Source organism: Homo sapiens, chromosome 14 (genome assembly GCF_000001405.40).
Source record: "Homo sapiens chromosome 14, GRCh38.p14 Primary Assembly".
NCBI lineage: Eukaryota > Metazoa > Chordata > Mammalia > Primates > Hominidae > Homo > Homo sapiens.
In genome coordinates, this window is record NC_000014.9 from 81407938 (window position 1) to 81435356 (window position 27419).

Sequence of the window (27419 nt, forward strand, 5' to 3'; positions counted from 1 at the left end):
AAGTTGAAATAACCATGCTGCTTGTTTCATAAGTTGCTAGAACAAAGAGAAGACTGGAAGGCCCCATTACCCTGTGAGGAAGACTAAATTAGATTAAGGACTTGAATACTGCTTCTCTTCCCTTTCCTCTTCCACATTCTTTTCCTTGATGAGAGACCTGAATTCTCATTAATAAAACCTGAACAGAGTTCACTGAAGAACACACACACACACACACACACGCGCACACACACACACATTAATTAATAGGTACCTTGATGCTCCTAAAAGAGAAAATGAGTTGAGTAATCCTGGTTGTTTGCTCTTATTATTTCGACGTTTAAAAATTTCATTCTTTCATTTAAATATTTTATTTTAAAAAACAAAAGGAGACCACCCAATCTTCTTCCAATTTCCATTGAAAACTGGGGAACAGAATGAACACCTCAGCCTCAAGTCAAACATGTATGAGAAAGAAGTCCAAAAGAAACAAATGTCATACTTTGACCACAGTTAGCATCTATCTATGATTCTCCATAAGTGAACTCCCTCTTCTTTTTCTCTTACAAGCACACACAGCATAATCTCCTAACCCTAGGTGGCTTCCTTCTCTAAAGTCATATTACTTGTGTGTATGAGTGTGTGTATATGTGTGTATACACACTTATAAATATACACATTTATGTACATGCATACATATATGTATATCCCAAGGTTATAATTACAAAATACTCTACTGTGTGATTTTCCTTCAAAATCAACAATCCCTATGGCTCTGCTATCTAACAATTCCATGGCCCCACATTCAGAGTCAAGAATCTAAGTTACACTTGGCTTGAAAAACTGGTTAGGCATTGCCTCTGATCTTTGGTGCATTCCTGAGGCAGTGACCTTGACTGACATCCCCACGTACCTGAGCAGTGTATCACATTAGTGAATGGCTCTGGTAGGAGGTCAGGCTTTAAAGTTTGCAAAACATTTTCCAGTTCCTTGAACTCTTAGAAGACATTGACTTACTCCATCTTGGTACATTCATCTTGGTTTAACTCCACTTCATATTTTTTTTGAAATGAGAATACTAATATTTTGTCTATGTGACAGTAGGGAGTTGATGTGGATAATTTCTTATCTATATTTTAGAGCCATATATAAATTAGATGCATTTTACAATTCATCTAATTTCAGAGAAGATAAAATATTTTTTAAGGCTGGGCACAGTGGCTCACGCCTGTAATCCTAACAATTTGGAAGGCCGAGGAGGGAGGATCACTTGAGATCAGGATTTTCTGACCAGACTGGCCAACATGGTGAAACCTCGTCTCTACTAAAAATACGAAAATTAGCCAGGCGTAGTGGTGTGCGCCCATAATTCCAGCTACTCGGGAGGCTGAGGCAGGAGAATCGCTTGAACCCAGGAGGTGGAGGCTGCAGTGAGCCGAGACTGCACTACTGCACTCTAGCCTGCGTGACAGAGTGAGACTCCATCTCAAAAAAAAATAAAAATAAATATAAAAATATATATATATATATTTACTTATTTATACACACACACACATATTTCTTAGAATCAATGAAATTGTCTTATTTTTTACCAGTTACCAAAAATTACAATTAGTATATAGTTCCAGAATGCAAAGAACTTCATGGGTTATTTCAATTCACTTTTACAGTAACCCTGAGATAAGTAAAGCAAATATTTCTCCCACTTGATAAAGTAACTGGCTCAGAGAGGTTCTGTGACTAGATCAAGGTCACAGAGCTAACCATCTCCCAGAATTGGGACAGAATTACAGACCTCCTGACTCTATAAATTCTGCACTCTTTCCACAACAGCACATTCTGCCTTCTAGAAATGAGGTATAACTGACAGTGTTCACTGCATCACCAGCATCCATTTCTTCTCATCATCCTGGTTTAAGCCAATCACAATAATTCCTATTCCTGCTTTCCTATCTTCACCTAGAGGTGATAACTTCACCAACTTCTAGCTAGTTAAACAAAAATGGAGATACAGTGAGAAATATAGTTCTGAAATATAGTTCTAAAATATAGTTCTAAAAAGTATTTTTTATCTTTGTTTTGTTTTGCTATCCCAATGAAGGAGACAGATTAGTTCATACAGCTCTGATCCTTCTTATTTTCTCTTTTTTCCCAACTTGAATATGGTCTTAACAGCTGGAGCTACAATAATCATAGGAAGGACAGGCTAAGAGAATAACAGTCATTGGCCCTGATGTCACTGAGCCACTGAACTGATATCAACAATCATTTGTTTCTCTATTTTTTATGTGAAAAAATATATTTTTGCTTAAGCTATTAGAATTAGACTTTCTGATGCATGCAGATGAATGTAACTCTAACCAAAAAAAAAAAAAAAAAAAAAAAAAAAAACAGAAGAGATCAATGTGGTAGGCAGAATCCTAAAATGACCCCATTATATCTGAGCCCTGGTATTACTCTTGTAGTTATGTTATACTGCATGGCAAAACAGATTTTACAGATGCAATTAAGGTTACTACTCAATTGACCTTAAGACAGGGAGATGATCCAGGTGAGCCAAATCTAATTAATGAGCTCTTTAAATGGGGGCTTCAGTCCTGCAACCACAAGGAGCTGAACTCTGCCAACAATAGGCCATAGCCTGAAGGGGACCCTGAGCTCCAGTGAGAACACCACTGGCCAACCCTTGATTTCTGCCCATGGTACCCTGAGCAGGGAACCCATTCAGACTGTACCAGACTTCTGACCTAACAAAGAGTGAGGTTTCAACACACATTTTGTGGTCCTGTGATACACACTTACAGAAAACCAATACATAAACCAAGAAAATCTCTGATTGTCAAGGAAATTGGGAAAGAAAAAGGGAGTATAACAGTAAAAAATGGGAGGAGAATTTACTCCAGAGCTTAAAATCTTCGGAGTCTAGGCAAAGCCTTCTTTAAATAATTTCCCAATATGGATAAGGGACTGAACTTCAACTAAAATCAACCGTTATCCATAGCAGGGAATAAACAAAGACAATGCAAAACAGCAGAAAATACAAAATTACACATGTCGCACTTTGAAACATACTACATGGGTATTCTCTCGCCAGGTTTAATTTCTGTTTTTCTTCCTTGCTCATTTAGGCCACTGTAAAATTAGGTTGCCTTTTCAGAGACATGGGGCAAGGCTGGTAAAGTGATCATTTTTAGTGGAGAAGGTTAAGGAAAATTTTGGGGTATGTTCCCTTTCAACATCAGGAGGCCAATGGCAATTCAACCAGTTTTCTGGAGCAGCAGTGATCATTACACGCCAGTGATTCTTCTTAACAGTGAGGGATGTTAACATTTTAGAATGTTTTGAAGGTGGGATGAGGGGAGAGTGAGGAAAAAAGGAAGGAAAGGAAAAGTAAACTCGATTGTGGTATCTTCTCTCACACTCTTTCCTTAAATAGGATATTTATTCATTCATCCAACAAGTGGTTATTAAATACCAGCTAGATGTTCAGGGTACAAAAGTAAATGAGGGCTGGGCGCACTGGCTCACGCCTGTAATCCCAGCACTTTGGGAGGCCAAGGCAGGTGGATCACCTGAGGTCAGGAGTTTGAGACCAGCCTGACCAACATGGTGAAACCCTGCCTCTACTAAAAATACAAAAATTAGCCAGGTGTGGTGGCGCATGCCTGTAATCCTGGTCACTCCAGAGGGTGAGGCAGGAGAATCGCTTGAACCCGGGAGGCAGAGGTTGCAGTGAGCCAAGATCACGCTATTGCACTCTAGCCTGGCAAGGCTTTGCAACAGGAGTGAAACTCCGCCTAAAAAATAAATAAGTAAATAAAATAAATTTTAAAAAGTAAATGACACAGATATAGACCCTGCCTTCAAGGGGCTTACATCATGAGGGAAAAGGAAGTATGAAACAAGTCAACCAAAAACAAAAGACCTACAAATAAGCAGAGTTAAGACAAGGAATAACAAGGAATCTTATACATAGAGTGACAGAAGATGTCTCTGAAGAGGTGACATTTAACTATCATCTCAAAGACAAGAAGAAGCCAACCACGATGGGATGAAAAGTGAAGAGGATTCAAGGTAAAGGGAACCAAAGACACAGAGTCTGAGATGAGAAAAACAAATAAACAAATCCAGAAAAAACTTGACCTGGGAATAGAGTAGGCAAGAGGCATGAGAGGTTGTAAAGGTCATGAGTTTTTAGAACTACAAGGTCTTGTGATTCAGATTAAGATGTTTAACTTTTACTCCAAGCACGATGAGAAGTCACTGAAGAAGTTTAAAGAGGAGCAACAAAATTTGATTTGCCTTTTTCGAAACTCAGCAAAGAAGAGAATGGAAAGGGAAAGACTGGAATTAAAGCAAACAATTAGGAAGCTGTCAAAACAGTTGAGAAAAGAGATGATGGTGGCCTGAAACAACCTAGGCGTCCGATGATGAATGGGATGGATAAGCAAAATGTAGTATATACATGCAATGGAACATTATTCAGCCTTAAAAAGAAAGCAAATTCTGATACATGCTACAACATGAATGACCCGTGAGGACATCATGCTAAGTGAAATAAGCCAGTTACAAAACGACAAATACTATATGATTCCACTTACATGAAGTACTTAGAGTAGTCACATTAACAGAATAGAAAGTAGAATGGTGGTTGCCAGGGGCCAGGGAGGCAGAGAAGTGTTTACCAGGTATGAAGATTCAGTTTTGCAAGATAAAAAGAGTTCTGGAGATGGATGTGGCAATAGTTGCACAACGATGTGAAAGGACATAATGCTGCTGAACTCTACTCTTAAAAATGGTTAAGGTGGTCCATTTTATAGTTGTAATTTAACAGAATTTTTTAAATTAAAAAAAAATGACCACGCGCAAAGCAGTCTTCGCAAAGGGGAAAATATGATTGCTTTGTGACCTTTAAAACTTTCTGTCAAACATTAAAAGCTTTCTTCTTAGAGGCGCCACGGCTTCCATAGCGATGGCAGCTCCAGCCGGGCGATGCTTAGCACCTCCCCAGGAGACCGTTGCAGTCAGCCAGCCCCCTTCTCCATGGGTAACCATGTGCGACCAAAAGGCCGTGATCAAAAATGCGGACATGTCGGAAGAGACGCAGCAGAACTCGGTGGAGTGCGCTCCTCAGGCGCTGGAGAAATACAACAAAGAGAGGAACACTGTGGCTCATATCAAGAAGGAATGTGACAAGAAGTACAATCCCACCTGACACTGCATCGTGGGGAGGAACTTCAGTAGTTACGTGACACATGAAACCAAACACTTCATCTACTTCTACCTGGGCCAAGTGGCCATTCTTCTGTTCAAATCTGGTTAAAAGCATGGACTGTGCCACCCACCAGTGGTCCATCCAAAAACAAGGACTGCAGCCTAAATTCCAAATACCAGAGACTGAAATTTTCAGCCTTGCTAAGGGAACACCTCGATGTTCGAACCTTTATTGTGTTTTATACAGGGCATTCTCTGTACTAGTTTGTTGTGGTTACAAAACAATTAGCAAAATAGCCTACATCTGTATTTATTTTCTATTCCATACTTCTGCCTCACGTTGTTTTCTCTCAAAATCCATTCCTTTAAAAAATAAATCTGTTGGCCGGGCGCAGTGGCTCATGCCTGTAATCTCAGCACTTTGGGAGGCTGAGGCAGGCAGATCAAGTGGTCAGGTGTTCGAGACCAGCCTGACCAACATGGTGAAACCCCGTCTCTATTAAAAATACAAAAAAATTAGCCTGGCATGGTGGCGTTTGTCTGTGATCCCAGCTACTGGGGAGGCTGAGGCAGGAGAACTGCTTGAACCCGGGAGGTGGAGGTTGCAGTGGGCAGAGATCACGCCATTGCACTCCAGCCTGGGCAACAAGAGAAAGACTCCATCTCAAAAAATAAATAAATAAATAAACAAACAAATCTGTTGCACATGTGAAGAAAACAAAGCTTTCTCACTGTTGTAATTTAAAATATTAGCAACATTTAATCAAACATTAAAAGCTTTCTTACTGTTTTAATTTAAAATATTAGCAACATTGAGAATAAAGTGTTTTATTTCTTTATAAAGAAAAAAAAAGATAATGATGGCCAGAGTCTGGATGAAACAATGGAGATGAAGAGAAAGAGATGTCATCTGAGATATATTTTAGAGGCAGGGTCATCAGGACTTACTGATGGATGTCTCACAGGAGGGAGGACAAGGAATTCTGGTGGAGGACATGGTGGGTGATAGTCCCACTGACCGGGATACAGAGAAAGAGTTAGGATTTGGGAGTAAAGTAAGCATTTCTTTTTAAATATGATACATTTGGGATGCTCATTAGACATCCAAGAGAGATGTCAACTAGGCACTTGGACTTTTGAGTTTGAAGCTTGAGGCCAGAGATACAAGTTAGGACATGATCATCAGACAGAAGGGATCCAGTTACCTAGGGAGAAGCCGTAGCAAAAGAAAAGAAGTGGCCAGTGCTCTCACACGCCAGGGCAATGTGGATGCTCACACTTAGAAAGCTCCATCCAACCTTTAGAACCCTGTGACGCCAAATGGACAGAGAAGATGGTAGAGTCCCAGATAGGGAGTGCTGCTGTGCCCTGCTCTTCAATACAAGGGCATGCATGAGTTAGAGGTCCTGGACCAAGCAGCCCACTCTCTATCTGGCCACTTGGAAACACAAAAGTTTGAAATGAGGCTTTTCTCAAGATTCCTTGAATACTAGATGTGAAAAAAAAAATGAAGATGTTGCCAAAGAACTCAGTAAATACAAGAACAAATGTCCTCTACGATAACTCTGCCACTCGGGGAGGAGAAGGTACCAGGAATGACACAACAAGAGCAGGAATTTCCTGACACCGCAGCCCATTTAATATTGATTAAAAGAGTAATTATTAAATGAAATAATAATTATAAATTAGATAATGTAAATTATTGAGATAATTAGATTATTACTTCATTTAAGAATGTGAGTGAGAATGCTTGGTGGCCTGATGTGGGTGAGGATGCTTGCTGGGCTGCAGAGTGTTATTTAAAAGGTAAGATCTGCCCATGGTCGTCCATCAAATGGCAGAATGTGGAAAGGGGCTAAGGGCTCTGGGAACAAAGTCAGGTGCTTTGGAGACTCTCTTATGATCCCCAATCCTTCTTCTCCATGGCTGGTTGGGGACACAAAGGCACAGAGAAGGCAAGCAGCTGGAGTGGCTCTCACTTTGCTGACAATGATGCCCATGACCTGCCTCCTACCACCCCTGCCCTGGACCCAAGCACTGTTCATGACAGTTCACTTTTGCCATCCTATAGATGAGGTACATTACCTCCTTTGTTCCTCTTATCAACCTTATGAGGTAGGTACTATTATTAATAACACCAGCATTTCAGAGAAATGCTGAGGCCAGAGAGGCCTCAGCTGAGGCCAGAGAGGTTAAGTAACGTGCTCAAGGTCAGAGAGTAGTAAAGAGTAGTCTGGGATTCTAACTAAAATCTTTCTGACGTCTGAGACTGTTCACAGACAATTCATTGACTCATTCATTCAATCAACCAAGACAAATTAAGAGCCCCCAATGTGCTGAGCCCTGACCCTCTGCTAGATGTTAGGGATATAACACTAAAAATACAAAAATTAGATGGGTGTGGTGGTGCACACCTGTAGTCCCAGCTACTCGGGAGGCTGAGGCAGGAGAATCACTTGAACCCAGGAGGCAGAGGTGGCAGTGAGCCAAGATCGCACCACTGCACTCCAGCCTGGCAACAGAGTGAGACTCCATCGCAAAAAAAAAAAAAAAAAAAAAATCTATTGTAATTCCTATAGCTGCCTTGCACATAGCAAAATTATATTACATTGTGGGTTTCTATGTATATGATTATACACTTAAGGTTTTAATTTGGTCCAATCAGAGAAGAAAATATATCCAAAAAAATCATAATATTTTTCTAATCCTGTCTTGGAGCTTCTTCAGTTTTTAATATTCTGAGAACTCAGAAAAAGCAAGGAACATAGGTCTCTCTCCACCACCTCTGAGAGGCCCTGAGCTTGCATGACAGCACAGGTTACTAAGGAGCATGACCAAAGGTCAGAAGCAGGGTGTGGGGAGCCCGGGGAGGCTTCCTGGAAGAGGCTGTATCTAACCTGAGTCTTAGGAGGATGCCTAGCATACCCTTCAGAGCACAAGCTCTTCGGGCAGCAGGCCAAGTCCCCCGTTGTTAACTCTAGCCATGGAACATCTCTGTCTCTGAAATGCTCTACGCCTGAGTTTCATCTAGTAGTATCTACCTCAGAGATTCTGTAAGATGCTGCAGGTAAACCTTTTCATGAATAATAAGCGCTCAGTCAATGCTATCTATTACCATTATTATTTCTACCCATAAAGATTGGGAGGAGTTAGCCTAGTCAAGAGAGAGAACAAGAACTTGCTGATTTCATTCCTGTGGTCATGGCATTCAGGAAGTGAAAGTGCAAAGAAGGAGGAGACCTTAGAAATTTCGGGAAAAAAAGGAAGTAGTGGTGTGAGCTTCAGCCTGAGACAGGAAAGAGCCTAGCTGGCTCAATGCGAGGCATCAGTTGGCCTAGAAATGAGTAGTGAGAGAAGGTACCGGAGGCAGGGTCAACACAGTGGACAACTTCAGGGCCCATTCCCATGGTCATCTATGTGAGCCATGCCCACGAAGAGTGTGTACCACACAGTCTGTGCAGTGGAAGGTGGCAACCTGCCTGTCTGGGTGCTCCACAGGCCCCTGAACAGAGGACACCGCTGCTATAATCGTCAGCCAAGGTGTCCTACTGCTGGTGTGGCCAAGTCATCTGGGCCATTTCAGTCAACAGGAGGCAGCACTGTGACCAAAGCTATGACCAACCTCTTTGGACCATAGGAAAACCATATCGAAGGGAGTCCAGTTGTGACATAAGGGTCTGGTTTTATCTAATTTATCAGTAGAGCTGCAGGCACACAAAACCTTTATGTTTAAAGCTCCTGCCAACACTCTCTATACCAAGAATAACAAGGATTAGAGGAAAACAGAGCTCCAGGCCACAAATCTCAAGCTTGGTGGGTAGCTCTACAATGAAGTCAGCTCAATGCAGATCTGTCTAGAAAAACATAGGGTTTTATTTCCCAGGTAGATGACGCAGAGGAAAAACTATTTCCCCCTTCCTCTTTTGTAAAAATCAAACTTTCCTTGTGGGTTGAACTGCCAACTCCCCTCAACTTGTTCCTGCCACTCAAGTCTTTAGCATCCCAAAAGGACTCACTGACACTCCATCCCTTGCATGCTTACACTCCCACAGCACTGTGTTGCACAACTCCAGGAGGTGCCATTCACACAATGCGACAAAAACCACGTTCTCTTATCTGACGCTGCCCCTAGAGCTATTCACCGCCCCGCCCCCGGCCCCCAGCTCTGCAACAGCACAGGCCCTCCCACATCACCATCCACACTGTAGAAAAGCAAAGAAATGTTGAATGTTCAGGAGAAAACCTTAACTGGGCAAAAAGATGAAAGTAGAGAAAACACCTTATAGCCACAGGAATCCTTGGTCTTGTTCTTTACTCAACAGAATAGAAGAAACAACAGTGATAGGAAATAACAATTAAGCTTGGGTGATAGGAGAATAGTAGTGCCATAGTATCTGAGGTAAGGGCAGAGAAGACCTCAATACATACCCTAAGGAAACTAGGAGTGGTCCCTTAAACTGTGCAATTAATTGGAGACAGGATAGGAAATACGTTTTTGGGATATGTTGAGATGCAAAGACTGTGAAAATGTAGATTTGGTGCCTAGAGAAAAATTACGGGTGAAAAGTTAGATTTTAGAGTCATCCAAGAAAAAACAAAGTATGCAGCCAAGGGAATGAATAGGTTATCAACAGGGGAAGTAAAAAGATAGAAGAAGATGACTGACTCTTGGAGCATGCCTACATAAGGGAGTGGGGCTGGGACGGGGGAAGTTAGACCCTCGGGTGACAGAGCCAGGCAGAGAGAGAGATAGAAAAACCAGAGGGCTCCAGGCTATGATGGCAAGAGGGAATTTTGAAAAAGAAGTTTTCTCTAGTGTCAAATGCTGAGGAGAGACATAAAGGGCCTTGAGTGGTCGCTGGTGACTTGAGAAAGCTTGCAGAGTTTAGCTTCTGGAGGGATGGACCCTTCCTGGCAGCATTTCTAGTGTTCAGAGCCATTACACAGAAGGAAAGTGTATTAGTCCATTTTCATATAAAGACATACCCAAGACTGGGCAATTTACAAAAGAAAAAGGTTTAACTGGACTTACAGTTCCACATGGCTGGGGAAGCCTCACAATCATGGCAGAAGGGAAGGAGGAGCAAGTCACATCTTACATGGATGGCAGCAGGCAAAGAGAGAGAGCCTGTGCATGGGAACTCCTCTTAATAAAACCATCAGATCTTGTGAGACTTATTCACTGTCATGAGAACAGCACAGGAAAGACCTGTCCCCATGATTCAATGACCTCCCACCAAGTCCCTCCTATAATACGTGGGAATTCAAGATGAGATTTGGGTGGGGACACAGCCAAACTGTATCAGAAAGCGACAAGCATTTGTAGAATAAAGTAGAACAGCTGAACTGGAAGCTTGATTGCAAGGAGTTAATAATAAACCCAGATTACAGTTTAAAGCTTAACGACTCTTAATACAGCTTTGTAAAAAAAAGGCAAAAAGTTACCAGCATACACATTGTTAATCCTGATTATGTGCTTCCCTGGAGGAAGTACTTTTCTGTTTACCTGGCACAGATTGAAGCTTGCCTCAGGTAAGGGGCAAGAGGCTAGTTCCTGGGATCTTTTCTGCCACAAATTCTCTGAATGACCACAGCACAACTGTAAAACCTCTCTGCTTTTGTTTCCACAAATTTATTAATTTGGGATTGATATAAAGTTATTTGCAAAGACCTTAAAAATATTTGGAAGATAGGAAATACACTTAGGTAGTCTCAAGCCCCGTGTGGTTCTCACACATTTCCAATAAAACAAAATACCTGGCAAGTAAACACCACTTCCATAGAAGCTTTTTATCATGCCTTCCCACCCTTTTTAGCAAGATTAAAACTGGGTCTGAGATTTTGATTCCCTAGAAAAAAGTTTCAGACCAAGAAAATACCTCTTAAAATCTCAATAAAACCTTTCTAAGCTCTACAAATTAAAAAAAAAAACTCTCAACTTAAATTTGTTTACTATACTAGGATTAACACTCTTTATCATTCTCATATTGTATTTTAAAGAGGGAATATTAATAACTATAACTAATATCTTGTGAGTGCTTACTCTATACAGTACTATGTTGAGGCCTACAAATGCATTATCTTGTCCCATCTTTACAACAGCATCCTGATATAAGCTGCTATTACTAATGACTCTTTTCCAGATGAGGAAACTAAGGCTTGGACTGGCCAACTTTCTCAAGGTCACACAAGTAGTAAGTGGCAAAGCTAGGATTTAAACCCAGAATATATCACAGATATTCTTAAGGATCCATTTTCACAGCTGTATCACTGACATAAAAGTTTATATATATATTTAATTTCTTACATTGGGATTTTTAAAAACAGGAAATTATGGAACAGATGGTCAGCCTCCATAGGAACTAGTTCACAGGTTCTAAATGATGGATCTTTTTCTACTAATGCATCCATCTGCCCAATTCCCCTAAATGAGGGTGGCCAACACCACTCACTTGCATAGACAAGGACAGGGGATGCATGGCTGAAGCCTTGAACTTCCAGGCAAGCCCTGCTGCATCCACGCTCTAGAGACCACCTGATGCATAGTGTTCTTCCCTCTTCCACCTCCACTGGCCCATGATCCTCTAGGGAAATAATGGCAGGTGTGAACATATCTTAGGCCAGATTCCTTAGGAGGCAGAGCCTGAGGCCAAGCTTCTACACTAGTGTTTTACAGCAATCCCAAGGAAGCCCAAGTAAGAGAAGAGAAGTGAAGTAGGGAAAGCAAACATAAGACGGAGTGGGCCTAAACTGGCCATGGCTTCACAAGAATCGGCTTGTTGCTGGGTCAGAGAGGCTGCTGGGAACTAAGGTACCTCAAAACCTTCCACTGGAGGGGCTGGTGCTTGGACAGGATATGTACCTGCCAGCTCCCACCTGTCTCTTATTCCCCTTTGGTCAGAGTTCACACCATGTTGGCCCAACTCCCCACATTTTGGGGGTGCATCTGCTAGATCCTTTAGCAGCAGATGAGAAATCCAGATTCCACACCCTTCAACGTGGTACTTCATCTGGGTCCTGAAGTAGTGAAAGGACCTGCAGTAGTAGCCTCGGATGGCCGAATGATTCAGTCCAGTGGCCCAGAGACAGGTAGGGCTAAGAGGGTTTGAGATGTGCCTAAGAGATGGCCAATACGGAAAGTTAAAATCTGGATAAGAATCAATGCTGGTATGCAATGTCACATGCGTAGAATATAAAGAGATGATCTAATAGGTCTTATTGGACTCTGGGTTATTTATGCTCATGGAGCATCTGCAGGTTTTTAGAAGTCTGTCACAGAACATCGCCCATTCATTCATTCATTCATTCAATAAGCATTCAGCATCTCCTATTGCTAGGGATGTTCTTGTGAAATTCTAAGAACAGAGAGAGGACTAAGATCCAGCACCTGCCTTGGAGAGAGAGACAGGCAAATAAATAATCACAGTATGGTGTGACCAGGGCAATGAGGAGAATGTAGCAGTGCGATGGGTGCATAGGAGTGACACCTAGCCCAATTTGGGGTCAGTGAAGAATAACAGGGAAGGTAACAAGTGGTTGAAAGATGAATAGAAATTAGTTCTGTGAGGCAGGGGTCACTGGTGGAGAAAATGGACATTCCAAGCTGGCAGGATGGTATCTATAAGAACAAAGCATGACAATACAAAATGGTCAATAAGAGGGTACCATTGCACTCAGCCATGCTTAACCACTCACGTTAACATGCAAAACTGTTGTTTGCTATCAAAGGGTGTATGCAACCTCCCTGATTCCTACGTCCACCCCCAAACCTGCCCCTCCCTAACCTCACACCTGAACATCACCCATCACTGACCCCAACCCCTGCAGTGTGTGTCACAGACAGGGTGGGATCTGGACATGAATAAGGCATGATGTGAAGGGAGGACGAGAGGCTCAGAAATGAGGTTCATGTTCAAGGATGGCCTGAGATTCAGCATTAATGTTAGAAATAGGTCAGGGGGCAGGGATGGGATGAAGCACTGAGACGGTATGAGGATGTCTTTTTGTTACCCGACTTGGAATGTGAAGAGCAATAGTTTTTTCAAGGCCTCCACTCAAAACAGCTGCATTAAAAATGTATTATGCCCCTACTGAGTCCAGAAGATGAATAAAAAGATATGTTTTCTGAACTATAGGTGATTTACTTTGACGAAGCAATGAGCCAGAAGGAGAAAAGTAAGACAGGAGGCTGGAGAGCTAGGAGTCAGGTCAGACAGGGCCCAGTAGGCCATGCCAAGAAGGCTGGGTTTTGTCATAAAGGCAATGGAGATCGATTAAACAATTTAAGCAGGGAAATAACATGACCCAATTTGTTTTTTAGAAAAAGGTTATTCTGGAAGCAATGAGAGAGATCAACCAGAGAGTGAAAAGACCAGCTAGTAATTAGAGTGATTAGGCATCGCAAGATGGGGGATAGAGAGGAAAGGTGTTTTTACAGCCATTTAGGATGTAATGTTATCAAGATATGGGGATAGAATCTTTTTTGGACTCATTGAGATTGTGGAAGTAAAGATGCAGTAGGTGGATGAAAAAAACCTTTGGAAAACTGGATCAATTTTTGTACCATTTGCCAAGATAAGGACTTCAAGAGGAAGAATGGTTGGGACATAAAAGGGAGGTGATGAGCTTAGCATTAGGCCCAGTGATTTGATGGGCCCGTGGGACAACCACATTGAGATGTTGTCTTTAGGACCTGTTAAATAGGCAGATTTAGAGCTCAGAAGAAGAGAGATGAGTGCTAAAAACACAGACTGAGAGGCCACTGGAAGCTGGGGATTTGGACTGGGTAACTCAGAATAATAAGAGGAAAAACAAGAACCAAGGCTGGAACCCTGGGGAAGGTCATTTGTGTTTAGCACAGGATAAACAGCCACTTGGAAGAAGTTCCTCATAAATGTGTTATCTTGTCACCATCATGAGGGCCTGGATTATCTTAGAACTCAGCAGAAGATCAGGTGCTATGATTTGGACATGCTTTGTTTGGCCCTGCCAAGTCTCCTGTTGTAGTTTGATCCCCAGTGTTGGTGGTGGGGCTCAGTAAGAGGTGTTTGGATGGTGAGGCCAGATCCCTATGAATGGCTTGGTACCATTCTCACAGGAGTGAGTGAGTTCTCACTCAGTTCCTGCGAGAACTGAAGTTGAAAAGAGCCTGGCACCTCCTCCTTTTTCTCTTGTTTCTGCTGTCTTGCTATGTGATCTCTGCACACCTGGGTCCCCTTTACCTTCCATCCTGAGTGGAACCAACCTGAAGCCCTCACCAGAAGCAGATGTTGGCGCCATGCTTCTTGTACAACCCGCAGAACTATGAGCCAAATAAACCTCTTTTCTTTATAAATTACCCAGTCTTGGGTGTTCCTTAACAGCAACACAAACACACTGAGACACCAGGTAAAAGAGATATTTGTGTTCATTCCAACTAGTCAATACTATGATAATACAGAATATTAAGGGAGCTCTGAGTGTGCTTGAGAAAGGAGAGAATAGGAGGCATTAGGACAGAGGTCACAGATTTCTGGATGCCCAGTTTTCCAGCATTTGAAGAAGTGAAACCATCTTTCTGCAGCATGGGCTTCAGTAAGTGCACGGGTTTCTGTGGGTCCACCTAGTATTTCTAGACTTCCAGGCCAGGCACGGTGGCTCACGCCTGTAATCGCAGCACTTTGGGAGGCTGAGGCGGGCAGATCACGAGGTCAGGAGTTCAAGACTAGCCTGGCCAACATGGTGAAACCCCGTCTCTACTAAAGATACAAAAAAAATTAGCTGGGTGTGGAGGTATGCACCTGTAATCCCAGCTACTCAAGAGGCTGAGGTAGGAAAATCGCTTGAACCCTGGAGGCGGAGGTTGCAGTGAGCCAAGATGGCACCACCGCACTCCAGCCTGGGAGACAGGGCAAGACTCTGTCTCAAAAAAAAAAAAAGATTTCTAGATTTCCAGCTTTCCAGCACTTGAAAAAGTGAAACTATCTTCATCTTCCTGCAACATGACCTTCTATAGGTATACCTAAGGTGCGCTGCACACTTTTCTTGATGTTATCACTACGTACACAAGTCACCAACCAGGAAGAGTTCTCAAGTTAGGGCCAAGACCAAGATGTACAACTCAGACTTGAAGGCCTCTCCTTGAAACTGGTTCTTAGCCTTTAAACAAAAAATTATAGCTCTCTGAATCTCTTTGAGTTATAATTTAAGCCAGAGACTCTCATCTCTGGAAAAATACACATACATGCAACATTAATTATAATTTAAGGCACTTCACAGACACACTTCTCAAAGTCCTAGGGATCTGTGGACTCCCTGTTAAAAACTGTCACCCTAGAACAACTTATCTGGCTCAAGTTGCTTTCGGGCCTTTCAAAACAAAACAAAATTATTCCAGAGGAGCCCAGCAGAAGGAAGCCAGGCACTGTGGCTTCTACTGACCCTGAACTGATAATTCCTTATTTCCGTTTTCAGCAAAGCGGAGGATACGTCCTTCCCTTTTCTGAGAATCCTTCCCCTCCCTCTTCCCCCAACAAAACAGACGCATGGGCATAAAACCAAAACAGCCTGGCCAAAGGCTAAAACACAGGCTGCTGCAGTGGCCTCATGGGGCAGCTGCACAGGGGCCCCTGGCTGATCATGATGTTATCCTTGTGAACCAGGCCTCTCACAAACAAGAAACCGACGCATCCCAAGTTTGTGTCTGCTGACTGAAGGCTGGGGCATGTGGGTGTCTCCAACTGCCAGGGACAGCCACAAGGAACCAGGACACACTGGGTGGGCTTGGCACAGTGCGAGAGTCGATGTCTGTTGACTGAGGCCTGGCTGCTTTGGTAGAGTGGAGTCTGAGGTTTTGATACATGAAATGCACTACTGACATCCCCTATGTTTAAAGTAAATTCTAAATGTGGAGAGCAGGTATGTTATGAAATGCCACAGCTTGCAGGACAAAAGAATTCTCACAGTATAAAATGTGAGCAAATGAGCACCTTTCAATGGTGACAACTCACTCATCCCCACACTCCTAGTTTATTTCCTTCTTTTATTTTTCCTAATCAGGCACGGTGGCTCATGCCTATAATCCCAGCACTTTGGGAGGCCAAGGCAGGCAGATCACTTGATGTCAGGAGTTTGAGACCAGCCTGGCCAACATGGTGAAACCCCATCTCTACTAAAAAGATAAAAATTAGCTGGGAGTGGTGGCGCACACCTAAAACCCCAGCTACTTGGGAGGCTGAGGCAAGAGAATCGCTTGAACACGGGAAGCTGAGGTTGCAGTGAGCCAAGATCGCGCCACTGTACTCCAGCCTGGATGACAAAGCAAGACACCATATCAAAAAAAAATATTTTTCTGATTTCTGTTTTTATTATAAACAGAATACACTCTCACTAAAAAAAAAAAAAATGGAAAATACAGAAAAGTATAATCACTGGAGTACTTCTACAATGATATGATTTTTAAAATTCCATCAGCATGCATTTCTTCAACTTCTCAGGGACACTTCCATTGTTTAAGGGTAAGGCATTCCTTATAGTGGGAGGACAGGCTGTCACCACAGACAATGGGACAGGATCCTTTGACCTTGTGACTTCCTGGGCTCTCATCTCAGTGGCTAAGAATTATGTATTCTATTGTTTTTTCCAAGTTGATAGAAATTTCCCACCATGTATGCCTATTCTCCTTACTTTCTCAATCTGAAAGACCAAAAGAAAAATTTAATCACTGGAAGCTCTTTCCTATTAATGTTTCTGCTTTGTTGTTTCTAAAGATTTTTTCTTTCAGTCTTCACATCACCCTCTCCCATTTAGAGACAGTTTCTCAAAAACCACAGTAGGGATTTAGAAACACACCACACTGTTACATACATTTGGTCCTGACACCACTAATAGCAGTATTTCTTTTGGTAGATGTCTCACTGACAGTAACTCTTGCAAAACAGAAAAGCTACAAATTCAAAGCATATAAACCATAAATGCAAATACAGCAGACATAATAATTAGAGAATGGAGTGACAAGACTTCAGAATGTGATTCTCCACATCTCTGGGTTCTTATTTAGCTTTGAGAGTGAGAGTTTTTTAGAAACAGATTCAGAATATTATTATTTGCTAAGTGAAATAAAATGGATTAGAGGAATTTTCCAACCAAGTGTAAAACTTGGATTTAAAATAGTAGAGAAGACTGAGCTTGGTGGCTCATGCCTGGAATCCCACCACTTTAAGAGGCTGAGGAGGAGGGAGGATCATTTGAGGTCAGGAGTTCGAGACCAGCTTAGCCAACAAAGTGAAACTCCATCTCCACTACCAACACAAAATTAGCTGGGCACGGTGGCTCACACCTGTAATCCCAGCTACTTGGGAGGCTTAGGCAGGAGAATCACTTGAATTCAGGAGGCAGAGATTGCAGTGAGCCAAGATCATGCCACTGTACTCCAGCCTGGACGACAGAGTGAACTCTGCCATCAAAAAAAAAAAAGTAGGGAAGATTGGTTAGTATCTTAGGGAAGAGTGAGAGAACCTTCTTACCTGGCTCATGGTGGCAAAGAGCAAACATGAGGTTATTATACGTAATACTAAAACACTGTCATCCAGTGGTATCTCTTTTGTTCTGTGTTTCAGTTTTCATATCTCTGAATGCTTGAGCATCTGCGATTCTTGTAGCAATTACCACATATAGAGGCCAGATCTGATCGCTGGATGTAATGTTTCAATTACAGAGAAAACGTAAGTCTCTGGCATATGTGTATAGTTACTATAGTATTTCCCTGACCTCTCTCTTTTATTATTTTTTTTAAAGAAGAAAAACAGTAGCAATATAAGTGGAATTAAAATTCGGATTTCAGCTTAGGGAAAATTCAAAGGGATTTAAACACATGTGACTGTCACCACTCCTCACTTTTAACAAATTTACATGAACGGTGAGAATCTTTCAAGACATAAAGTGGTGAACAGCTTCACAGCACGAATGTCGCACTTACTGAGCCCTCACACCTATGAGATGGGCATTTTTAACCACCAGTTCTCATCTCACAGGCAAAGAAACTGAGTCTCAGAGACTAAGTAACTTGCCCAAGGGCACAAAGATAGTAAGAGGTCAAATGGTATCCGACCCTAGTCTTAACTCAGGCACCTAACCATGGGATTATAGAGCTCAAATGATAAAACCACCCAAAGAAAATGCCAATGGGTCCATACCTCATTTTACACTGGCAAAGTGAAGAAAAGCACAAACTAGAAACCTCGAGCCAGCTTGAATTTCCCAGTGAAGCTGGCATGTCCCCTGATTCAACCCTAGGACCCCTTCTCCAGCTGTTAAATACCTTCATTCCTTCACAGCTTTAGATTCCATCTATAAGCTAGGGACCCCCCACACAGATGCTTCCAGCCTTGACTTCTCACCTGACTTCTCCTGGTGCCCACTGAGCATCTTCACTTCAACATCTAACAAGACTCTCACACTTAACGCATCCAGATTTGACCAGCGACTCTCCCTTCCCTGAAATGACTGCGGCAAGAACCCTTCCCATCCAAGATGATGGCACTCTACCCCTCCAGTCCCCCTCGCCCGAAACATCGAGTCATCCAACCTTGTCTTCTCGCTTCCTCTGACACAGTTTCTCTCATGTTCATTTTACAAAAAGGCAGTTTACATACATATTTCTCACATGATTCTTTAAAATGGCTAGTTTCCCTAGGACATTTTATAAGATTTCGTTTGAGCATAACTCACCGTGAGTACCTTAACTGAGGTAGTCACGTAAGCTTCGTCTAACACAGCACTGTGTAACCTACAAATCATGATGTTCACCTACCGCTTTATTTTTATGTGCTATTTGATAAACACTTACGTAACACTTCTCATCTCTCAGACATTGATGTCAAAGTGCTTTACTGTTCATTTAATTAAATTATCATATAATCCTCATAACCCTATGAAGTAGGTTCCCTTTACAGAGATAAGGAAACTGAGGCTCAGGGAGATTAAATAGCTTACCTGAAACCGCACAATTCAAACCCAGGCAGTCTGGCTCCAGAGTCTGTACTTGTAACCACTTCGCCCTGCTCCATCCACGAGATGTACTTTTTTGCCTCGTGAGTTGTTTTCCTATGAGTAGAAACATACATGCATAAATGAACCTGCACTCTTATCTGGCTTTCTTATAGCCAGGACCCACCTCTGCAAAGTGCCTGACCTGACTGGGTGCATATTCTCTACCCTCTTCACAGGAAAATGGCAACCAAATGACAGGAGATCACAGCCCCTGGGCCCAGGAGCACTGTGCTGTGACCAGCCAAGTCACCCAGACCGGAGTCTGATATGCGACAGCAAACAACTCTGACTCCTTGGGACTGCCTCCCCAAGGCCTGCTCAGGAATCGGGAACTTAAAATCAACCGGAAGCAGAGCATGTGCGCTCCAGGGTGCCTGAGTATGATGGATGGCACAGCTGGAGGAGCTGGCTGTGTTGCAGACAGCACAGCCCCGCCTATGCCAATTAGGTTGATGGGTGGTGACTGAGAAACATGCTGGATTTACTCAAATAGATCCTCACTCCCTAACTCACCAACTTTTTAGAGATCATAACAAAAAGAATAAGGATGAGATGGGAAAAAAAAAAAGAGAGAGAGAAAAAAGTGTGCTTTGACTGCCCTGCTGATACTGTGAACTGACCGTGCAAAAACAAAAGCAGTTTTCCTCCTACCAGGCATCTCCCAGGGTGTGGCCAGAGTGCACAGATAGCCCCTGTTAACTCTTTAGAGCACATTTCCTTTTGCTTCCAGATACCACAGTGACTCAGGGCATAGCTTCTAGATCTAAGCGATTAAGAGAGGTAGGTTTAAAGCCCAGCTCCATTACAACCTTTGACAAAGTACTTAGCTCCAGCCTCTGTCTCATGAAATGCTACTCCTCATGTAATGCTACTCCTTAGATGAGATGCTACTCCTCCTGACCTTACAGCGTTGAGGTGCAAATTAAGTAAAATAACATGGTATAACCACTCAGCAGTGGACGTAAAACTCAACGCATGATAGCTATTGATAGTGTTTTTGATAATTTCAGCAATGATAAAAGTTTTCCACCCTTCAACTGTTCAAAGTCTGAAGTAGAGGGAAATGTAGGGACACGGAATGATTTAGAAAAAAATGAATATTTTATGTTTGGCAAGGATGGGGAAAAACACAAAGTATTATTTTTGACAGCTCTGAGTTCACATAATAGACGACATTTAAACAACGTATAACTGGATACGTCTACCAAATATGGATCACCCCAGCCTTATCCACTTAACCATGGCATTATCATTATTCTCTTTTAAAAGCTTAAGACAAATGGGCCAGGCATGGTGGCTCACGCCTGTAATCCCAGAACTTTGGGAGGCTGAGGCAGGTGGGCTGCTTGAGGCCAGAAGTTCGAGACTAGCCAGGCCAACATGGCGAAACCCCGTCTCTACTGAAAACACAAAAATTAGCCAGGCATGGTGGCACACACCTGTAGTCCCAGCTACTGGGGAAGGAGAGACATGAGAATCGCTTGAACCCAGGAGGCAGAGGCTGCAGTGAACTGAGATCCTGCCACTGCACTCCAGCCTGGGTGACACAATGATACTCTGTCTCAAAAAAAAACAGAAACAAAAACCAAAAAAACTTAAGATAAATGTTTTCCGTTTCTAAGGCAAACAAATAAAATCTGTTTTCATTTAAAGTATCCCATTTGGTTTTTTTAAACCAGTTAGCTAACTTCAAAGGGCAGCCAATGGAAGGACTATCAAGCTGGCAATGGTCTAGTGTCTAACTTCAAAGTTCAGGTAGATAGAAAGCCACTGATGGTCCCACTCTACTTCTCGGCATTTGGCATGAAATATGCTTGAGAATGCCCTTTCATTCAGATGGTGTGTTTGCATGGACACACAGCACTAAAATGGTACCTTCTTTCAATGAAAGCCAGGGAGAAGCCTGAAAGAGAAGTGTACAATGATCTCACCCCAAGCTTAAAATTAACAAGGACCCTTTGGGGTCACAGCTGAGAGCCCCCATGGGGCATAATATGAGTAGGAGAAATCCTATCTAAATGACAGGAGCCCTAGTGTCATCTTAATGTCATTCTTAGTGTCACCATCCTTACGGAGATATGAAGTGACTTAAGCTAGACACCACCAAATGTCAGGGGAAGCAGGGTCAGTTATTATAGAAGCACCAGGGGATTTCTGCATGACTTTCAACAAGTCATTTGACCTTTCCAGGTTAGACTGCAAGTGGAGTAGGACCAACTGCCTGCAAGTTTGACAGAGTTTATAATAGGATTAGATTTTATTTATATAGACGTTTGACATCCTTAGCTCCAAAGTGCTTTCCTATTAATACAATGAACATGTTAAGAGGGCCAAATCAGAGTCCAGTGTTATTCACCTACTAATAAATCACTGAATGGCTTCATTTGTAGGAGGTTATGCAGCCATTCAGATTAAACAGTGCTTTTGATAATTTAGGCAAAGATTAAATAGTCCGATGGCAGTCAAGAAAGGACAGCTTTAAGAAGTCATCTAGGTCGGGCATGATGGCTCACGCCTGTAATCCCAGCACTTTGGGAGGCCGAGGCAGGTGGACCACCTGAGGTCAGAAGTTCGAGACCAGCCTGGCCAACATGGTGAAACCCCATCTCTACTAAAAATACAAAAAATCAGCTGGGCGTGATGGTGGGCGCCTGTAATCCCCGCTACTCGGCAGGCTGAGGCAGGAGAATTGCTTGAACCCGGGAGGCGGAGGTTGCAGTGAGCTGAGATCGCGCCACTGCACTCCGGCCTGGGTGACACAGCAAGACTCTGTCTCAAAAAAAAAAAAAAGAAAAAAGTCATCTAGCTCCGACTTCCCTTCTCTCCCACTTGACCCCTTTACTTCAGATACAGTAGTCCAGTGAATGGACCTGAAAAGACTTGTGGACCAGTGCAGGGGCACAGTTCACTTAGACCCATTCCTTCCCTAAAGACTATGGTTCCCACCTAGCTAAATCCTCCTTCTCCATCCAGCCCGGAGTAGCTGCTCCTCCCTGAACCTTCCCAGCCCAGCACAATCTGGGAAAGACTCGCTGTCTGAATTCACAGCACTTGACAGCCCACTGGATTATTTGCCTACTGTTGGTCTCGCTGTGGTTTAACTATCATTGATTTTATATAAATATTATGTCTTTTCTCTCTCAGCATAGAGGCTGTGTCAGAGACTGAGCATAATACTTCTCTGAATTCCTCGTAACGTTCTCCTCAAAGCCTTGCACTCAGCAGATGGTCAATACCATTCAGATGAACATAACTCCCAAAGGTTTCACTGAGCCATTAGCAATCTGCAAAGCGGCTTCACACTCTTCGCTGTGATGAAACATCACAAGGAACACTGACCACCCCTTGCCAGTTAGAGAGGCCACTTCAGGGCACCAGTCCAAGTTAGTAGGCAGCCAGCTGGGGTGACAAAGGTTGTACACTATGAATGAAAAATCCAAGTTTCAATCCTGCCCTACTATTATGTATCTATAGAATTTTGGTCAACTGTTTCTATCTTTGTTACTGCATTTCAGAAAGAGAGCAGTAACACTAAAGTCTACCTCCTGAAAGTGCTAGAGATGTGAAAAAACATATATATATGAGATATAAGCATTTATTTAATATAACTAGATAATAGAAGATAATATTTTTCTATGCTGTGATACTTAACATTTCTTAAATATCAAAGTGCTGGGTAAATGTTATCCAGTGGGGATGGCAGCACCTTCTAATGAATTGTTCAGCATTTCAAATCCCCCTGGCTGGTTTAAGTGTCCCTTCTCTCACTGGCTCTCAGAGTTACATCCACAGTTTTGTTTGCTGCACCTTTTGAAATTTCAGGCCAGGTTTCCTGGAAACCTGAGCTGGAGGGAACTGTGGTAGTTCACCATAGAATAGATCAAGTGAAGGCAGTACCGAGGCCACAGCTGCACGAGGGGGAAAAACTGCTGGCTCTCCAAAATGACCTGGAGAGGGAAACAGTTGGCTTCAGGCCTCCAGGACAGAGGTTATAGTTCTAAGCTTTCTCATCCACCTCTGGGAAGGTACACAGAATCCTGGGGGAGTTTCTCCTGTTTCAGAAAGCACACCTTCAAGGTATGACTTGTCTCTCAAATCTCAACTGGAACAAGGATCTTTTCAAATCTCACTCACTTCATTTTATAATATGAGCTCATTATATTTCTTATTTTATACACATTTAATATGCATATAGAAGGCCGGATGCAGTGGCTCACACCTGTAATCCTAGCACTTTGAGAGGCTGAAGCAGGCGGATCACTTGCGGTCAGGAGTTCGAGACCAGCCTGGCCAACATAGTAAAACCTCATCTCTACTAAAAATAGAAAAATTACCTGTGGCCAGGCACGGTGGCTCACGCCTGTGATCCCAGCACTTTGGGAGGCCAAGGTGGACACATTACCTGAGATCAGGAGTTCAAGACCACCCTGACCAACATGGCAAAACTCTGTCTCTACTAAAAATACAAAATTAGCCAGGCATAGTGGCGCATTCCTGTAATCCCAGCTACTAGGGAGGCTGAGGCAAGAGAATTGCTTGAACCCGGGAGCCGGAGGTTGCAGTAAGCCGATATTGCGCACTGCACTCTAGGCTAGGCAACAACAGCGAAACTCTGTCTCAAAAAAAAAAAAAAAAAATTAGCTGGGCGTGGTGGTGGGTACCTGTAATCCCAGCTACTTGGGAGACTGAGGCAGGAGAATCCCTTGAACCTGGGAGGTAGAGGTTGCGGCAAGCTTAGATCACACCACCGCACTAAAGCCTGGGGGACAAGAGCAAAACTCTATCTCAAAAAAATAAAATGCATATAGAATTTCTAGAATTTTCTATTCATACCCCGATGGATAATTCTGCACTCATCCTACCTTCAAACAAATATTCTAATCTGGTAGCCAGCACTTAGAATGGTGATCCTAGAAGTATTTCATGCATTTACATGCTCTCTGTCACATGCTGGTAAACCACTGGTTTATTGGGACCCTAGGTAGAGTTCAAATTTGTGCCATGCTTACGAATGAGAAAAACCATAGCAAAAAAAAAGACACTCTCACTGTGTTTTATTTCCCGTGTCACATTAGACACCCCAACATATTTGCTCCTTTACGTCCATTTCTGGCATGCCCTGTTGTTACAGGAGTGATGAGTCACAGTTGGGGGGAATTGTAGTAACTTGCTCCATCTCGTAGTATAAGCCAAACCATGGACAATCTTGGGTTCTCAGGGGGTTATTTATCTTGGGGGTAGGTGCTGATCACAATCTGTATGACCACATGGCACAGATGTTTAATTATGATGGTGACCTCAAGTAAAGCAAGCAATTTCTTGGTCTGACTATATGAAAATTCAGCCAAATGTCCACCCAGTGGGAAAGCTCAGCTCCAGAAGAAATTATAGCTGGAATGACAAGAAGTGTGATGGATCAGGATTGGAATATGTGGACAGGCCTGAGTGAGAGGTCTGGAGCCAGACAAAAGGGTGTGTGCTAGATGACAGGATGGGAAGTCTGGGCAAAATTACAAAGGGATGGGACAAAGCAGCACTTGTATGCTTCTTCTCTGGACCCAAGCTTTTTTCATTTTCTCACTATGAGCATTGCATCTGCAATTTAATATACACCTAGAGACTCAGCTACTCTTACAGAGCCTACTGCTCATGGCCAGAGCCAGCCTTCAGCAAAACTTCTGCATGGAGAATGCTGAGACCTTCCAGCCCTTTTCCTCCTTCCATTGGACTCTTCTATTCAGATATTTATCTCAATCACATCTTAATGTCTCCCCTTAGTTTAGTGGTTTTCAAAGGGTGGGACCAGCGGCATCAGTATCCCCTGAGCACTTGTCAGAAATACTCATTTCCAGGCCCCAGACCAGACTGACTGATTCAGGAACTCAGGGGGCCAGGCCCAGCAATCTGCATTTTCTCAATCCCTCCAAGTGATTCGGATGCACACTAAAGTTTGAGATCCACTGCTTCAGGTGATATAAAATAACGACTTCAAGATGAGAGAGCACGTGCATTTTAGGAGAGAACTTGTGAAGAAGGCAAGCTGCTCAAGCGCCAACTAAATCAGTTTCTAGCAGTGGAATTTGAAGTCATGTAACAGATGGTGAGAGAGAGACTGCAGGCCACCGTATTTGCCCTGGCCCTCATCGCCTCTTGCTTTTTAGCTCACCTATTTCAATCTTCTCTCCACCTGGCCACTAGAAATGTGTGTTCAGCAGGAAAATCTGACCCTGTCAAAGCCCAACTCAAAACTCTTCAGTGGCTGCTCCCTGCCAATGGATAAAGTCCCAATCCCCTGGCACCCGACCCAGGGTCCTTCATCATCTGCCACTGGGCCACCTCCTGATCTTGTTTCCTTCAGCACTTTTCCTCCTGCTCAGCCATACCTTGCTGTCTGCAGCTGGTTTAGACTTCCCCATACCACGGACAGCAGACTTTGCCATGTGAGTTACCTTGACCAACAGCATGAGAGCTGAAGTGATGGCTGCTACTTCTGAGCAGACTTTAGATGCTACAGTTTTGTTCTATCATGTCCTTTTTCCCTTTGTCATAAATAAGATCCACATTGTCCCAGAGAGAAGCTGTTTCTTAAGCCTCAGTGGGTCCCAGAATGATGACAAGTGAGGGGTAGAACTATGCCTGACTTACACTGGACATGCAGCATGAGAGGGAACTAAATCTTGGCTGTTATAAATCACTGAGATTTGGGGGTTACTTGTTATTTACCGTTAAACTGACTGTAACAGTCCTTTTGATCACTTCTCTCAGTCTGGAATGTCTTCTCTTCTCTGCTCTACCTTGTTTCCAATCCCACCTCACCCCTGCCTGCACAAGAGACTTGCTCATCATTCTACACTCAGCTCAAGTGTTACCCCTCGGTCAAGCTTTTTGTGTCTTTCCCAGGTATAACTTTTAAGATCTTCTCTGGATGCTACAGACCTGTAACCACATCCCTGGAACTGTGCCACGGCGCCTCCATTCATTAGTACTATCCTTAGAACAACTTCTAAGAAAAAATAATAATAAAATTAAAAATTCAACAACTCATTTTATAAAGCAGAAGCCTGGCTCAGAAAAACAAAGCAATTTGTTGAAGTTTCCCAGAATCAGTCACAGTCTGAGATCTCACGAGGTGGGAGTCTGGCTCTGAACTCAGAAGTCTTTGCCCCGCCCAACACATCTCTCTTACTACCCCCAGCAGCAAGCGTTCAGATCCTCCCACGCCACTGGAGAGAGTAAAAGTCCTCTTATCAACAACTGAAAGGGCTGCCATGCTAATCTGAGACTTGAAAGATTGCATCTGGAAGTGGGCTTCTTACCCCCTGAGAAGATAAGCATTTCCTCTAAGTCAATGTATTCATTCTAAGGCTCCTGGCAAAAGCACAAGAGACCCTAGAAGAACTGGGGCATTTTGTTTGCATCCTTTCCCCAGTTCCTAGCCTATGGGTTGGGGGATAGGGGGTAGTATGGTGTGGTAAGACAGATTCCCACTGACATCACCCTAGAGAAGCTTTGAGAAGGTTTTTTGGATTCGTCACACAGTAGGAGGCAATTGAGCAGGGGGTTCAGAACTCCAAGCAGGTCCGCTACATGTCGATATTTTAAGTTTTAAAAAGAAAAATAAAACGGGCCAATTATTGACTTTTCAGATTAACCAAGAAAAGAAAGTGACACAGTGACAAAGAATTAAACCAGACCACCCAGGTCAGGCATAGGAAAAAAAACACCTAAAAGTAGCAACTGCAATTTTAGGTTTCTATGAGCCACTGGCATTTTTGCTGTGTGGTTGAGTTTTTTTTCTCTCTCTCTCTTTCTCCCTCCCTCTCTTTTTAATTTTACCTTTTCGTTTAAGGGAGGAGTAAAAAGTATAAAACTTTCAAATACTTCCCCCAAATCAGCCATGCTACTGAAAGGTGAACACTTAACAAAGTACCATGATATTATTTTCACACAATATTCATACCAATTTTTTCAAAGGTCACAAAGCTTTTCTCAGTTACTAGTTGGAATGCATTTATCTCTCTCACCATTCCAATGGATCGGTTTTTTACCGCCCCCCAAAAGGACATGCTACCTTTAAAGATACCATCGGTCTCATTAATAATAGCATTTTTTTCCTTTCAAGTGTAGAAAGCTGTTCAGAGCTGCAAATGGTTGCTAGGCCAGTTTGGACACGTCTGATTTACTCTTTAAAAGCCCAT

The 27419-nt window shown here is 42.9% G+C and overlaps 1 protein-coding gene and 1 pseudogene across 12 annotated transcripts in view, besides 1 other annotated feature; one reads left to right on the forward strand and one right to left on the reverse strand.

Moving 5' to 3' along the window:
• The window catches only part of STON2 (stonin 2), a 175814-nt gene that overhangs the window by 147286 nt on the left and 1109 nt on the right, over positions 1-27419 (reverse strand). For 8 of the 12 annotated variants that reach the window (XM_024449736.2, NM_001366850.2, NM_001366849.2 and 5 more), the window contains exon 2: positions 19165-19275. The gene's annotated coding sequence lies outside the window, so the exon portion shown is untranslated. Of the gene's footprint in view, positions 1-19164; positions 19276-19363; positions 19839-27419 lie in introns of those variants that run through there. The other 4 variants (NM_001256430.3, XM_024449734.2, XM_047431811.1 and 1 more) reach the window with 1 other exon arrangement.
• Positions 4928-5577, forward strand: DYNLL1P2 (dynein light chain LC8-type 1 pseudogene 2; annotated as a pseudogene).
• Positions 19539-20043: an enhancer, noted in NCBI's record as "NANOG-H3K4me1 hESC enhancer chr14:81893820-81894324 (GRCh37/hg19 assembly coordinates)". NCBI's record gives its function as "activates a minimal SCP1, AML or CMV promoter by ChIP-STARR-seq in naive H9 embryonic stem cells {active_cell/tissue: H9 hESC(naive)}" and the evidence as "EXISTENCE:reporter gene assay evidence [ECO:0000049][PMID:30033119]".